At 35.5% G+C, this 16224-nt stretch overlaps 1 protein-coding gene across 10 annotated transcripts in view, besides 1 other annotated feature; it reads right to left on the bottom strand.

The window, feature by feature from the left end:
• Window positions 1-16224, bottom strand: part of PTPRC (protein tyrosine phosphatase receptor type C) — a 118764-nt gene that overhangs the window by 47307 nt on the left and 55233 nt on the right. For 2 of the 10 annotated variants that reach the window (XM_047426381.1, NM_002838.5), the window contains exons 4-11: window positions 13261-13458; window positions 10466-10606; window positions 7640-7783; window positions 6798-6872; window positions 5672-5698; window positions 3218-3436; window positions 1909-2037; window positions 346-483 (exon numbers count right to left, since the gene is read on the bottom strand). In XM_047426381.1, coding sequence (XP_047282337.1) covers window positions 346-483; window positions 1909-2037; window positions 3218-3436; window positions 5672-5698; window positions 6798-6872; window positions 7640-7783; window positions 10466-10606; window positions 13261-13458 — 1071 coding nt within the window. Of the gene's footprint in view, window positions 1-345; window positions 484-1908; window positions 2038-3217; window positions 3437-5671; window positions 5699-6797; window positions 6873-7639; window positions 7784-10465; window positions 10607-13260; window positions 13459-14998; window positions 16153-16224 lie in introns of those variants that run through there. The other 8 variants (XM_047426398.1, XM_006711473.4, XM_047426409.1 and 5 more) reach the window with 5 other exon arrangements.
• Window positions 8035-8584: an enhancer, noted in NCBI's record as "OCT4-NANOG hESC enhancer chr1:198670715-198671264 (GRCh37/hg19 assembly coordinates)". NCBI's record gives its function as "activates a minimal SCP1, AML or CMV promoter by ChIP-STARR-seq in primed H9 embryonic stem cells {active_cell/tissue: H9 hESC(primed)}" and the evidence as "EXISTENCE:reporter gene assay evidence [ECO:0000049][PMID:30033119]".

Below are 16224 nucleotides of genomic sequence, written 5' to 3'. Positions count from 1 at the left end.
TGGCCATATGCAACAAAATGAAATTAGACTGTTACCTCACACCATATACAAATATTAACTCAAAGTGGGTAACAGAGCTAAATTTAAGAGCCAATGCTATAAAATTTTTAGAACAAAACATATGGATAAATCTGCATGACTTGGCAATGGACTTTCATATACGACACCAAAAACATAAGCAAAAGAAGTAAAAATAGATAAATTGCGCTTCATTGAAATAAAAAGCATATGCTTAAAAAGTATCAAAAACAGCAAAAAGACAATTCATTTCCTATGATTCTCAAATAATTATAAGAACATGAAGAGAGAAGCAATTTTACATATAAATGCAAGTAACATACTCACTCCCAAAATCTGTTTTAATAATTTTACTTGCGTTAGTAAACTTGTGGTTATTATAGAGTATTTCTGAGTCACACTTATACTCATGTTCGGGTTCAAGGTTTTCTAATTTAATTTCTTTATTATCAAATATCATATTACCTGAAATAAAGAAATATTTCGAATGAATATATCGATGCAATATTTCACGCACACATTTATTTTCTAATTTCACATTTATAATTCTCTATTTAATATTTATCAGATTGAAACATCTGTGGAAATTACCAAAATAATAAAAAACCCTAAAAATAATTTTTACATTCAACTTTTATGAAAATACAGGCTGAGTTTCCCTTATTCAAAATTCCTGGCACCAGAAGTGTTTTGGATTTAGTTTTTTTTTTCAGATTTTGGAATATTTGCATTTAGATGATACAATATATTGGGAAGAGGACACAAGTTCAAATGCAAAATTCATTTATGTTTCATATATACCTCATATACATAGCTTGAGGTCATTTATTTTTCTCTGGGGATGCTGACTAAATTCTGTGTTATGTTTCTGCATTTTGACTATGACCAGTCACTTTAGGTCACGTGTAAAATTTTTCACTTGTTTGAGCCGCATCATGTTGGCACTCAAAAAGTACTGGATTCTGAGAACATTTTGGATTCTGGATTTTCAGATTAGGGATGCCCAATCTGTATATAGCAAATACAACTTAAAGTTGAAATTGCACCTCACCTAGTCTTCATCTAATAGATTGTCTAGAGAGAACATTTTATCATTGGTCTGTCATGATTGCTCTTCCTTTCCTTGTCTGCTTGCCTGATGGCCATGAATCTATACTATGGTGATTAGGTGATGATTACACCCAGCGCAATGCTCCATCCTCTATGTGTGTAGCTGTGGATATGCGTGCATGCGCATGCACACCTGAGCACATCTGTCTGTCATGCCAGCTATGGCCTGGCAGATGGCTTTAAGTCAAAGGGTGGGAGAGTTCACCTCATTAAATTCAAATACACTTTAAAAATACTATCTCAATTATTAGTTGCCTCAATTCAAATCCAAACATATCCCTAGATGCACTTGCTGTTCTTTTTCTGCTTTCTTCTTATTTAAGTGTTCTTGAACTTGTGTATGAATTTTGTTGATGCAGGATGGAAAAAGTAAACTCTTGAACCATACAATCCTGTATTTTTTTTCCTTACTTCATAACAGAGTTTGTGTATTATCATTTCCTTATAACACCCTTCTTTCATGATCTCTTCAACAATGCCTGTGTATAACAATTGCCAAGAAAATTATTGTAAATTAATTGACTTTCAATTTTTAGATATTTATTTTTCATGAAAAGTATTCATTTATTTTGTGAATTTGTTTGAATTGTATAGGTAATTTAATTATTTGACTCTAAATATACCACAGACCAAGAAAAAGACAAGAAAGAAAAAAGACAAACAGAGGGAGAACAAGAGAGGCAGGGAGGAAGAGAGAAAGGGCAGAGAGTAAGATTAAATAATATCTAGAACAACATTGTGCCACAAAAAAAAATTCTCTGGTCAATGTTATATTCTTACCACACTGAAATCTGTAGGTAATATTCTGTGTATCACAAGTAAAGGTTTCAATATTTTTCCATTTTAAACAAATAGTAGTATCTGCTTTTTCAACTTGTGTACAATCATGTAACTGAAACTTTTCAACCCCTGACAAGAAGATACAGAAATAAACTTGATTAGTATTTCATAATGTGTATCCTAAGCCCTCATTCATTCCTAACATGTCAGTTAAAGCCACTGAAATTATGCTAATGACATAGAATTTGGCAAGGATTGAGATTGCTATGGGAAAAGTCTAATAACTCTAGGGATTTGTTTCTTTTATTATTTACTTTATTATTTTTAGCACCATATATTTTGGTAGTGTTTCATTTATAAGTTATACCACGTTAAAAAATGAAATGCAAGCAAACATATTGATAAAATTGTAGCTTTCGCACATTTTAAAAAACACTCATTCCATTTTGTATTTTTGTTTTTATCTTAAATTTTTTGTTTACTCTTTACTTACTTTTAATTGAATGATTATTATAAAGTGTATTGGGAGTTTCCCTATTGGGAAATGCATTTTTAAGTATTGTCATCTTCTGTGTTTAATTGGTAATTTATCTCAGTAATATTTAGGGAAAATGAATAAATTAAATGGATTTTATTTTCAAAATACATTTGATGTTAACATATTTAAATGTTAACAAATTTATTAATAGTCTTGAATTATTAAATGATATGACTTTTTAAAAAAATTACACGGCTCTGGAATCCCTTTTCCAGAATGCATTTGGCTAAGAGATGCTTCCCCAGAGTCTGCCCGACGCCTGTCACCCCCTCCTCTTTCCAAGCAGTAGCTTAGCTGACAAAACCAACTTGATCTCACTAACATGACCATAACCTTCCTTTTTATGAATGTATTTTGGTTCTTCCCATACACATCAAATCCTTTATGTTTCTCCCTAATATATTTCAGATAAATTTGTACTTAAAAGAATAAATATATGTACATATATAATTAATACTTCATTTAAGTAGAGGAGAATAAAGAAAGCTTGCAGACAATCACTTAGCAGGATAAACTATATTTAGTGCACATAAACATCTCCCTGTTAAATAAGTAGAAGTGGTGATTAATGGATGTAAACAGAAGGCTTATTTGACTCTATCATTTTTACTTGGTTAAGACAGCAGAAAGTTCACCCACTTGTTTCCAAGGAATTTCCTTTCCCTCAGCCCTGTTCTCTCACCAGACTAGCTCCTGTGACCACTGGAGAACACCACACACAAAAGTGTACTGTTTTTATAAATTTATTAAAAGAAATAAATTGATATTTACCTGGTGGCACATCTAATATTAATGTCTTATCAGGAGCAGTACATGAATTATGAGATATGGAAACAGACGCATTTTTACATTCTGTAAGGTTATGCACCTCATTGTTTGTGCAAGTATTGTTTCCACATTCCACATTCTCATTAACATTTAGCTTTGCTGTAAATAATTTAGTTTCCTTGTTATATAAGTAATCCACAGTGATGTTTGCATATTTTTCATCTAAAAGAAAATAGAACATTGAGTGTTATTTTTCCAGAATAAATAAAACTACATTAATGCAAATGCCAAAATATCAAATCAACTAACCAAATATCCCCAAAAAACATGAAAAAGAAAAAACACATTAGGTGCCTCCATATCATTTTTTTCGTAATTATCTGTGCTTTACTGCCCTAACAAGGACCTCAGCTTGTAAATTTATATTTGGATGATTACCAGATAAGTGTCTGTCTTCCTAGCTGGACTTGGAACTTCCATGAGAGCAAAGTCTAGGCTATTTTTATTATCACTGTAAATTCAGGAGTATGCATAATATGTATCATTAATGGGAACTCACTAGTTACTTGTTGACTTGATGCACAAATAAATGATGCATTTGAGAAATTTATTCTTGCTTTATAATTTTCTTGTTTTCTAAAACGTAGTTATTAACCACCTGTTTCTTGATATATGTGGGGCATTAATTACTCAGGGATCAGAAGCCCTCATTCTTTCCTTAACTTGGGTAAAATTATGATTGATAATATACCTCCAAAGCACCTTTGTTTAGTGTCAACAATTTCTGCTGACTGATAAAAATATCTTTACAACAAATATAAATTTATTCATTTGTTTTTATTCAACAAAAATTATTAAGCCCTTGTCATATGTAAGACATGGTCACCAATACTAGGAATTCAAAGGCAAGTTAGATATAATCAGCTTTTAGAAATGTATAATCCAGTGTGGAGGCAGACACAAGCATGAATTGCAGGAGACATACAAACCTCTAAAATAAGATTATGCAGGAAATAATGTGGCACTAGAAAGAGAGAGATCTGTTCCATTTGGAGGTATAGGACAGGATTTCCAGAGAAAGTGACTTAGTTTGTGTTTTAAAATATGAGCAGGAAATAGAAAAATAGACATGGGGTTTGGGGGATGAGGTTGGAGCAGAATTCCAATTGTAGAGGAAGAGCAGGAGTGGCCACAGAGGCAGGAAGGAACAGTATGTGTTTACAAATCTGTAAGTGGGCCAGGCGTGGTGGATCATGCCTGTAATCCTAGCATTTTGGAAGGCCGAGTCAGGTTGATCACCTGAGGTCAGGAGTTCAAGACCAGCGTGGGCAACATGGTGAATCCCAATCTCTACTAAAAATACAAAAATCAGCTGGGCTCGGTGGCATGTGCCTATAGTCCCAGCTACTTGGGAGGCTGAGGCAGGAGAATCACTTGAACCCAGGAGGCAGAGGTTGCAGTAAGCTGAGATTGTACCACTGCACTCCAGCCCGGGCAACAGAGTGAGAAAAAAAAAAAAAAAAGAAAGAAAGAACTAACGAATGAAAGAAAGAAAGAAAAGAAAACTGAAAGTGGTTCCATATTACTTAAGTGAAGAACATAAGGAGGCAATGATTCAAGAGGCGGGAGGAGAGATGAATGACAACCGGATTACAAAAGATCATATTAATTAAACAGACATATGAAGGCCACTCTTTACACTAAATGTATGGAAAGCTACTGAAGGCAGTGACTCCAGTGGTTAGACTTAGAAATGAATGGAGGAATAAGCCCTGACCATGAAGAACCGCTTTGCTTCAACTGAGAATCAAGGAAGAAAATGAGAAAAAAAAAAAGAGAGACAAACTGTTTTCAAGTATCTGCTTTGAGCCAGCCCCTAACAAGCAAGACAGAAAGAGAGAGAAAAAGAGAGATTTTTCTTCTTGATAAGCTTTGAAGGTATTATCCACATTTTATATTTATCATCACACTGAATCCTTGTCCCCCTCCCCCTCACCAACAAACTTGCTGTTATTCCATTTTTTTTTCAAATACCTAAATTAAATTAAGTGGCTTTACCAAAGTTGTCTAACTGGAAAACTTAGTTTTCAACTTTTATTTTGGATTCCAGGGTTATATGTGCAAGTTTGTTACAAAGGTATATTGCAGGATGCTGAGGTTTGCAGTAAAATTGAATTCGACGCCCAGCAAGTAGGCACAGTTCCCAATATAGGTAGTTTCCCAACCCTTGTCTTCCTCCCTCCATCATCGCTCTTGTATTTCCCAGTGTCTATCATTCCCAACTCTATGTCCATGTGTAGCTAGTAATTTTTTACTAATTTGAGACTAGTCATCGGTGAGAAATTAGAGCCAGTGAGTTTAGCTTACTAGTGGGTCCTGAAAGCTTGGAATAAAGAAAGATGTAATTAAAGTGCTATTCCAAAGTGAGGTATGCTGATTCTAAGTAAATAAACTTACCACATGTTGGCTTAGATGGAGTAGTAGCTGTAATGGAGAAAAAAAATGTAAATTATTAAAATTTTGCTTTAGAATATCTGCCATGTCATTTTTGGGAAAGCTGATTTACAATACTTCTACTTCATAAAGTCTATCTAGTTAGATTTAACAGAATATGAAGGATTTGCCTAGTACAGGTTTTCATTTCAAAACTTAAAGCATTATAAAGGAATGAGCTAATTCTATAAAATTTTTCATAAATATACCCAATAAATACAATTAACAATATTAAGACTTTTAGGTACGCATCTAATTGGCGGTATGGCAACATGGCTGAAGATTCACACAGCCAAAAATATTTTAAAGGTCTTCATATTTTGATTAATCTCAATGTTAATTTATATAATTATAACCCCCATAGTACGAAGTTTATACTTTTCATTTACATAAAAAAAAGTCAGAGAAAATGCAAAGACTGCTTCATTCTCTAGATTAACTTTTGTAAGCTCTTTGCACATCTACTAGATCCAGGGTAACAAATTGCTCTGTCAACAAATTTAGCAGTATCTTGTGTGAGTGTAGGCATTTAAGTTGAATAATTGGGAGAACATGTGCTTTGTGTAAGCTAAGAGATCTCTGCTCATCTTGATTTTGGGTTGGAAGAATTTGAGGAGAATTGTGGGCTTGCAAGCTCTGATCAGCTTACTTGCTGATTCACAGATACCACCATTGCTGCAGCCATTCCTCAGTTTCTCTTTCCTTTATCTCCACGCCCTCTCACTGCTTAACGGGAACTCTGCCATCAGCCGTCTGATGCTCACCACTTGCAATGGACAGCCCCTTTGATGGGCTTGTTCTTTTCCTTACTAAGACCTAAACCCCTGTGAGAAAAAGTTCTAGTAGATGTGGTTGTTTCTCACACATGCTTTCTGATGAATTATGACAGTAACAATTACATCCTGATCTCATCAGCTGTTGCACTGCTAAGCAGAGAAATATCTTCCTGCTGTTCCATCACCCTCAGGATTCAAACACTTAATGCAACTTAAAGAAAGGAGCCCGAGGTAGAGTGGGTGGAAGGCCCTTGTGAGAGCACATCACCAGGCACATGGGGATGGTGTGGCTGCCTGACTGAGGGTAATATCACCTATTGTTGTGGTTGAAATGACAGCGCTTCCAGAAGGGCTCAGAGTGGTTGTTTCAGAGGCATTAAGGTAGGCATCTGCAAGAAAATGAATAGAAGAATAAAAGCTAATTAATTCGTTATATTAAAAGGTGAAAGAAAAACTCTTTAGCAAAGATAATTTCCTATTGGCATCTTTGCTCTAGGAGTCCTCGTTTGATTTGACATTCGCTTGTTTTTAAAATAATAAAGTGAATCAAAGATTTATTTCAAGTTATTTAAACTAAACATTGTATAAATTGAGGGAAAACTATTCATTCCTTGATATAATTCTTAGTTGATGATATGCAATCTTCCTCAGACTATTCATTTCCCTTTCATTCACGGCTTTCCATACTTGGATTCTAATAAGCGTCACAATTACTCTTTTAAAATATTTATTACATACCAGATTTTTACATATTCAGACATCACGTTAATTATTTTGACATAATTAAAAAAGGAGTGTTATTATGTCCATTTTTACAGAAAGCAAATCTGATATGCAGAAAGTATTAGTAATTTGCCCTGTAATCAGCTACGAAGTTGAAGAAATTGGATTTGATCCCAGAGCTATATGACATTAAGGCCTATTATTGATTCTTCTTTGCCATGGACTTTTATAATATTAATAGTAAAATAAAATATGCCCAGAAAAAGCTTACTGGCAAGTTTCTTTTGCATAATTTGGTGTTGATACGTGAACATTTGTAAAATGGGAAACCTACAAATAATATCTGGCACAAAATAAAAGAGCTACATTAAAGTTTTGAGTTTCCATTTCATTATCTATAACTGAAGACACTACTAGAGCAGCATAGTCAGACCTGAGGTGTTCGCTGTGATGGTGGTGTTGGAGGTGCGTGCAGGTAAGGCAGCAGAGCTGTGGTGTGCAAGGCTGAGGGTGGTTGTCAATGGGGAAACTGGGTCTGTAGGAAAGGTGCTGGCTGTACTCCTCTCTCCTGGGACATCTGCAATCAGAAGGGCCATCAGCACTGTCACTTGTGTCTGTCACGCAAGGGCAATAGCCAGATAGCCAACATAAACACAATTACTAAAGATAAGGCAGAGAAACAAATCTTCAAGCACTTCTGCTATACCACGACACATGCATTCTACAGAACTGTACCAAAAATACCAGGGCTTATGGGAAAGATGCATTTAGGGGCAGACAACTGGAAACCTATGCAGCTTCATAATCAGAGCACAACTTAAAAAAATATATAGTTTGGACAGCCCAAGAAGCCTAAGACTCTGGGCTGCAGGCTGCCTTAGGCAATATAAAAAATGCATCAAAGCAGTAGAGACTGGTGCTGTCTTAGTGGTGCTGAGACCATGTAGATGGAGGTAGAGCTCTGAGTGTAAAAGGTTGGCACAGGAGGAAGTGCAACTTGATACATGCTGAGAGCCTTGCAGGCACACACCTCTCTGGGGAGGGATCCCTGGGTGCAGGTGCTCAGTTTTAATTTTCTTAAAATAGAGCTGAATGGGATCCTGCCTGGGCCACAGCATGAGCTCAAAGGTTTTCTTTTTCTTCCTTTCCAGCTGAAGGTTACAATTCTACTTTCACAATTCAGGCTTCCCTGGCCAGGAAAAATCAAATTGGCTTGAAATCCAACAAACTCCACATTACAGTGGCATCATTCTCTTATTTTTCAATCACATAGTTGCTAATTGGTATAGAATCTAGTGTTGTAGCCAAAGAAACTGCACATTGTACTAGGTTAGAACTTTCCATTTTCAGGCTTCAAATTACCTAATGTATTTTACACCTTTGCCCAACATCACATCCAGAATTACAGCACAGGCAATCAATGTATATTCATTTGGTTCCTACTAGATGACTAGCACTATGCTAGTTGCCATGGAAAAAGCAAAAGAAATATGAGCTGCCCTCTATTCAAGAGCTTGTTGGGTTATTTTCTGTCAAGATCCCTGGGGTCATCAGTTCAATGATGTGAGATTAGTCTCACATTTGCAGGCAGAGTCTGTATTTCTGCAGTGATACATGCATGCACGTTCTGAACATGGCTTTGATTTGAGCTTGCAGGTGTCTACCAATTACAAATGCAGTACAGTCTATAATTTCACACATACATTCCATTAGAATTGAAAATGCATCTTCCAAATAATTGAGCATGGGTTCTCAGCTCAGTCTTCAAAAGCCACTAAACCACGAAATTTAACTAAACCATAGAATAGAATAAACAACATAAACATGAGGTTTTCCACTCTGGATCCCCAGAGGAGGGCTCCAGCAGAATATGTAGAAGAGTGAGGAAAGCTCATTTATTCATCCTTTAAAAAACTCATTCAGACATAGAACTGGCCCTCTGCAGAGTTTTGAAATCAGCTTTTTTCCACCTTCTTTTCCACACTCCTCTCACTCACTTGATCTGTTCTCCCCTCTCTAGCAGACCCTGCTCCCAAGCTGTTTTGAGGCTTCCACTCTCAACCTCCCGAAACTTCCTACCTTCCCTCCTCCTCACTTGAAAACTTCGTTTCCCTTGTTATGTAGGTACTCTCAGTGGTGGTTATGGACGGCATTTACAATTTTAATTAGGTTGATTAATCCTAATAGATTTTTCATCAGTGGAATTAGCCACTTCTTTGAGAAGAAGAATTCCTTGATCAGGACAGAGCAGACTAGTCTGTGTGACAACCAGCCCCAGGGGTCAGTCCCCTTTTGTTGTTTTACAGTTTCTGCCCCTCCACTATTTCTGGATCTGTGGGTTTGCTAAAAGCTCCAAATATTTTTATTGTGGTTCCCATGGCAGCTGGACTAGATGGAATGAGGAAGGTGAGGGCGGCTCTTCTCCCACTTGTTTAAAGAGTGTGGATTGCCTGGAATGATTTTTATGCCAAGGGCACAGTTTTAATACTGCAAAATAATAATTATTCTATTTGATGTGTTTGATTCCTACCTAAAGCAAGACCATGTTCCTACCAGCTACATAGGTCTACCATTTATATCTTTAACTTTCAAGCACTCAGATCACTGAAATTATATACGAGACTGTGTGGATTTGTGATCTGACAAAAGACATACTTGTTTTTCTTGCATATAAAAGGACACCAAGAAGTGATTTGGACACTAATTTTGAAAAGAAAAGGGAGGAAATATTCTGCATTGTTGTTATAAACACAGAGATGCCATCCTGAAAGATTCTTAATGTTTGAATGGGAAATAAACCCATTCCTTTCTTTTTTTCTCATTCTTTAAATAACAGTTTCATTGTGGTTACAATTTCTCACTGCCCTTCACTGATAATAGGAATCACTCTTCACCCTTTTGTTTGTTGGTACAAAGTCTTTAAGTAAAGATTTATGCATATTATTTCTTACTTCTAACAAAAAGTTTTCCCTGTAGAATGGTAATTGCCTGAAATATATAAAAAATAGACTATTCTGAATAACTCTTTCCTCCTGAGCAGATTTTTGCTGTAGTCTCACAATTCTCACTATTATTTCATCTCTGTTAAAAGGACATTTGTTCTGTGGTTTCATATTCCTAAGAGTGACTGAAATTCCAAATTCATCAACTAGCAATAGCTGCACATTGAATAAGTGGTTAGATTTCCTCACACCATTCTTAAATACAGGTAGTCGTCATGTACTTTTCATATTTGCACAAGTCTAAAGGACCCGCAAACCTGAGATAGCATTGCTGCCTGGGGTAGGGTTGAGTTTTGCATTGGCGGCGGAGCCGCTGAATGTCTGCGTGTCAGTTCCAGCAGAGGGCGTCTGCGAGTCTGCGTGCGTGGGAAGGTGAGGCGTCTGTACTGATGAAACACCTAAGGTAGGAAAGTGAGATCATTACATCAGTCTTCCCCCACTGGAGATGAATAATTTACTAAGAGGTTATAAGGAGCAAATTGCGATTATAGTTTACCAAACTGTGAAGTAACTGAATCTGTTAAAATGTGTCTGTCAGTATTTAAATTTGCTTGGCTGGAAAGTGACAGGCACCTGAGTCCTCTATTTACATAGCCTTGGGAGGTTTCCTGAGCTGGATGCAGCCATAGAGAATTCGTGTTTCCAGGTGGCTTTATTGACTTTCACATCACTATGAGCTTTCTGAATTCTCCATCAACTCTACAAACTGACAGATGGGACATTTCTTTGTAGGGAGAATAAGAAAGGAATCTTCCAATGTACTAGTATCTCTTACAAATTACAAAGAAAAGAAGAAATTTAAAAATGGACAAGAGATGTGACAGACATCTACCTAATATACAGAAGGGCCAAAAGGTATATGAAAAAGTGTTCAGTGTTAAGAACAATTTTTTAAATGTAAATCAACATGAAATATTTCTAACTAGCATACTGGCAGAGTTTTAAAAGGTTGATAATATCTAGTGTTTGAAAACATGTGGAAACAATCTCACATGTCCATGCTTACATACACGGTCTCTTGCATACTCACAAAATCATATGTTGAGAGCCTGGAGGATATACAACAATGGTTAAAAAGGTATCTTTAAGGAACAGAATTTAAAGGGTATTTTCATTGTGTGTCTTTTAAGTACATATAAAGTATACATTTTATATACTTTAATCCTATATGTATATATGTATATGTATGTATACATAGGATTAAAATATATACACACAACACATACATATACTTTATATATACTTAACAGTATATACAAATATATATATACACACATACCCATCTATATTGAAAATGCTTTGAAATAGTCATAAACTATCTTTATAAAATAAAATTACATAATTAAATTTAATGTTATGCACATGGATGGTCATTGTAGCCATTTTCAAAAATGAACAATTTTGAATAGTGTGTAATAATATTCTTAGAAATGCAGATTAAAGGATTTTCCCCCAATTATATCAGTAAATGAAAAAAATTGACTGCATTCAGCAGTATAAATCAATCATAATCATAAATTAAATAACTCATATAGACTTTATTCCAATAGATAATTGAAGTATCACCTGATGAAAAGATTATTTTCTAGAAAAGAAAGTGTGTTTTTATTTGAAAGCATGAACTTTTCAAGGTAATTTCAACATCAGTATTATTTTGCTAGAACAAATCAGTATTTTAAAATTATTCATCCTTATTTTCAATCTATTCAACTTTAAACCTTTCTCATACTTTGCTCTACCTGTAAATTTATGGCTTAAGTGGTTTTAGGTTTTAAAAATGTGGGAATGAAAAGAATGTTGCATGTTTTTATTTGTGCATGTGACGTGAAATACAGAACCTTCAAAAGGAAAACTCAATGTGACACTACTCAGGCAATAAACAAAATAATAAAATAGCATGAGATGTTCCACCTAGTCATCAGCACCTTCATCCTTGCATTCCTTTTGTAAAAATTTTGGGCAATGTGTTCAAATTTTTACAGTGTTTAGACAGGTCCTAGTTACTACTCTGCTATGGTGACAGGGAAACAAATGGAAGATTAAATACACAGTCTTGTACTTGCTGTAGGAAGGCACTGACCATTTATTTAACTGCTTACTATATCCAATAAACTTCATCAGTAAGGTACTCAAAATACTTTGATGTACCCTAAACAAAATTTCTGTGATGGTATTATATATGCTTGTTTTTCAAACGAAGATAAATGGCATTGTTAAACAGTTCAAATAGCTTAGTATCTTTTATCAGAGTATGTCTATAAACCTGTTTGCCCACAAAAAAGTCAACATAACACATTATTTCAGAAAAGCATGAACACTCTACTGATGGTAAATCTGAGTCTGAATACACTGGCAGACCTATTGCTAAACATTAAATGAGCATATACATATATCAGTATTCTAAGGAGCATAGTGCCCCTCCTTGGCAAAAATATCTCTTGCATCAATCTGATTTTTCCCGGGAACATGGCTACATTGCCTTTAATTTACCAGTAGAACTCACAACCTTAATTAAAAATGTTTTCAATGATGCAAATGCTCTTAAAAGAAACTCAAATAACAAAATTGGGTTGTCGATTCTCAGAGTGGATTTAAAAATAATACATTCTCTATCTTCAACAATTTTTGGATAAAGAGAATCTAGAGTGAAACAAAGAAATGGGAAGACTCCCATTTAAGACACCTTCCAAGGAGAGTAGAACTGATAATCTCTGAACTAGGGAAATTCTCATCTGTCCAGGTGGCGGGAAGCCAAGCGGGAGAATCATGGCGAGTGTGTATAGATCAGAGGATACTAGAACAAATTTCCCCTCCTGATTGTCCTTGGAGATCTTGCTTCCCTTCTTTTCTCTCTCCACTCCCTAACAACATGCATTAATTACTTCAGTCGATCTATATTTCACAGATACTAATTTCCTGCAATTTCTGCACTTGAATAAAATCACATACTTAGAAACTGTGCAAATAATTTAAAGACAAGTTGTACTGATAACTGTAGAATTTTCTAAATGACATTCCCTGATATTTAAGTTAACAACTTTTGTGTGCCAACCTGTGGTATTAAAAGCACTAGCATTATCCAAAGAGTCCGGGGATACTTGGGTGGAAGTATTGTCTGGACTAAGAGAAGTTGTGGTCTCTGAGAAGTCATTTTCTCTTTCAAAGGTGCTTGCGGGTGAGAATGCAGTGGTGTGAGTAGGTAAGGGGTCACTTGAAAGTGGAACACTGGGCATCTTTGCTGTAGTCAATCCTGTTAATTAATGGAAAATGGGAGAAGGACAAAATAAATATGTGAATCATACCCTAAATGTATGCTCCTCCCAGTATACTAACTCCCCAGTCCACTATAGTGTGTATGTACATATATCTACACATACATATGCACACACCATACATAAGTGTATGTATATGGTGTGTATATGTATTCATAAATATACATACACATATATGCATGCATATATACAAATATTGATGCATACAGAGATACATATAATATGTAGACACAGATCTAAAACAAGCTACAGAACATTAGCTAAAGATAAAAATGGGGAAATGAAATTGAAAGCAGCTTCTCGCCTATCCAAAGCAATTGAGTTCAGAAGGATGAAGCATAATGGTAAAGATGATTAAAAAAATTAAAAAGTTGTAGATAAAGAAAAGGATAGAGAAAGGTAAAGTTAGAAGGTTTTTAGCAGGGCTAGGGTTCCAGGGGAAAAAAAAGACAAAACTTCCATTTACTCATGGATATATATATATCCATGAAAAAATATCTATCTATATATATATATATATATTTTCTTTTTGAGACAGAGTCTCACTCTGTCACCAGGCTGGAGTGCAGTGGCACGATCTTGGCTCACTGCAACCTCCGACTCCCTGGTTCAAGCGATTCTCTTGCCTCAGCCACCCAAGTAGCTGGGATTACAGGCATACACCACCACATCCAGCTAATTTTTGTACTTTTAGTAGAGATGGGGTTTCACCATGTTGGCCAGGATGGTCTCGATCTCCTGACCTCGTGATCCACCCGCCTCGGCCTCCCAAAGTGCTGGGATTACAGGCGTGAGCCACCACGCCTGGCCTATTCATGGATTTTTTAAAAAATAAATTAAAAGCAAACAAAGCAATGAAAATGTGTGTAAAGGACTGAAAAACAAAACTCACAACTAGGTTTACAAACAACCAAAGTCTACAAAAATGTCTTTGACGTCATGATAACAAAGAGATACAATTTAAAATACTGAAATAATATCCACAGCTCAAGTTTACTTTAAGAAGAGGAAAATATGTGACAAAGTAGTAGTGAAATAAGTTTATGCACAGTTGACATGAGTGTACAATGGTAAAAAAAATTCTGCAGGGCAAATCAGCACTGTTGATTAAAGTCCTTTAAAGTTTTTTTAATGCTCTTTTACTGAAAAAAGTGATTTTCTTAATAAAAGAATAGAAAAATATACCAAATGTGTTAAAAAAAAAAAAGCTCATGTGATCTCTGGAGGTTGGAATTATAAAGATGTATTTAATTTTTTTTTTTTTTTTTGCTTAACATATATTTACTTTTTGAAAAGCAAAAAAAAAAATTTAAATATTTAATTAGGTAAAAACTGAACTATATCACACAACAAAAAATAATTAAATCAGTTCAACAAGATTGGGCAAAAGACAATGGCACAAATATGGAAAAAGGGAGAGAATGAGAGAAACTAGAAAAGGAGTAGAAATGATAGGACAGGAAAGAGTTAAGAATGAAAATTGCAATATTACTAGAGAAGAAAATGGAAATAGTATGATAAATAAAAAACCCAGCTTTATTCATTAGTATCAAAGCTAAAGTTAATTTTTACTAAATACAGATAAAATTCAATTGAACTTCAATTCCAATATACATGAAATATTGCAGAACTATTCTGTGATTACAGAAATGCAAAATGATCATAGACTTGTTATGTGTGTTATTTTCTAATGAAAAACTTCAATCTCTAGATTTTCATAACCAAATAACTCACAAATAAATCCATCAAACTTTTACCCATAATGACATGCCAGCATAGCCAACTAAGTACAGTAATAGGATAGTAACTACCTCTAGTCTTCAGTGTAAAATCAGGTCTAACTTTAGATTTTTTCAACTACTATGCATTGAATAAAAGAAAGGGAGGGAGAGAGGGTGGGAGAAAAGAAAGGAAAAGAAAAGGGGGTGGGAGAAAGGGAGTGGAAAGAAAGTAGGAAAGAAGGGAGGGAGGAAGGAAGGAGAGAGTTTAGAATTCTTTCTATTCACATTAAGTCACTGTCATCATTATAGACTTGATAATTATTAATTTGTTATTTTTAGGTTAAACCAATTCTGGTGTCTGCCTGCTTCCAATGATCCCTTTTGCTTTGAGAGAAATGTTTCAACAAGTTCCCTTTATCGTCCACTCTCACTCTTTCATTAGATGTGAATTACAAACAGACTAGAAGGAAAATCATGCAACATTCTCCTTATAATAGTATTTGATGGTTAATATTGAGTGTCAACTTGATTGGATTGAAGGATGCAAAGTATTGTTCCTGGGTGTGCCTGTGAGCGTATTGCCAAGGGAGATTAACATTTGAGTCAGTGGACTGGGGGAGGCAGACCCTCCCCAACCCCCCCACCCCCACCCAATATGAGTGGGCATCATCCAAGCAACTGCCAGCACGGCTAGAAAAAGCAGGCACAAGAAGGTAGGAGAAGTGAGCTTGCTGAGTCTTCTGGTCTTCATCTTTCTCTCGTGCTGGCTGCTTCCTGCTCTTGAACATCAGACTCCAAGTTCCTCAGCTTTTGGACTCTTGGACTTACTCCAGTGGTTTGTGAGGGGCTCTCGGGCCTTTGGCCACCAACTGAAGGCTGAACTGTCAGCTTCCCTACTTTTGAGGTTTGGTGACTTGGATTGGCTTCCTTGCTCCTCAGCTTGCAGATGGCCTATTGTGGGAATTCACCTCGTGATTGTGTGTCAATCACATAAACTACCCCTCATATACACATCTAACCTAT

This window comes from Homo sapiens, chromosome 1 (assembly GCF_000001405.40).
Source record: "Homo sapiens chromosome 1, GRCh38.p14 Primary Assembly".
NCBI lineage: Eukaryota > Metazoa > Chordata > Mammalia > Primates > Hominidae > Homo > Homo sapiens.
Note: the sequence above shows the minus strand (reverse complement) of the source record. Positions and strands in the feature narration are given on the sequence as shown.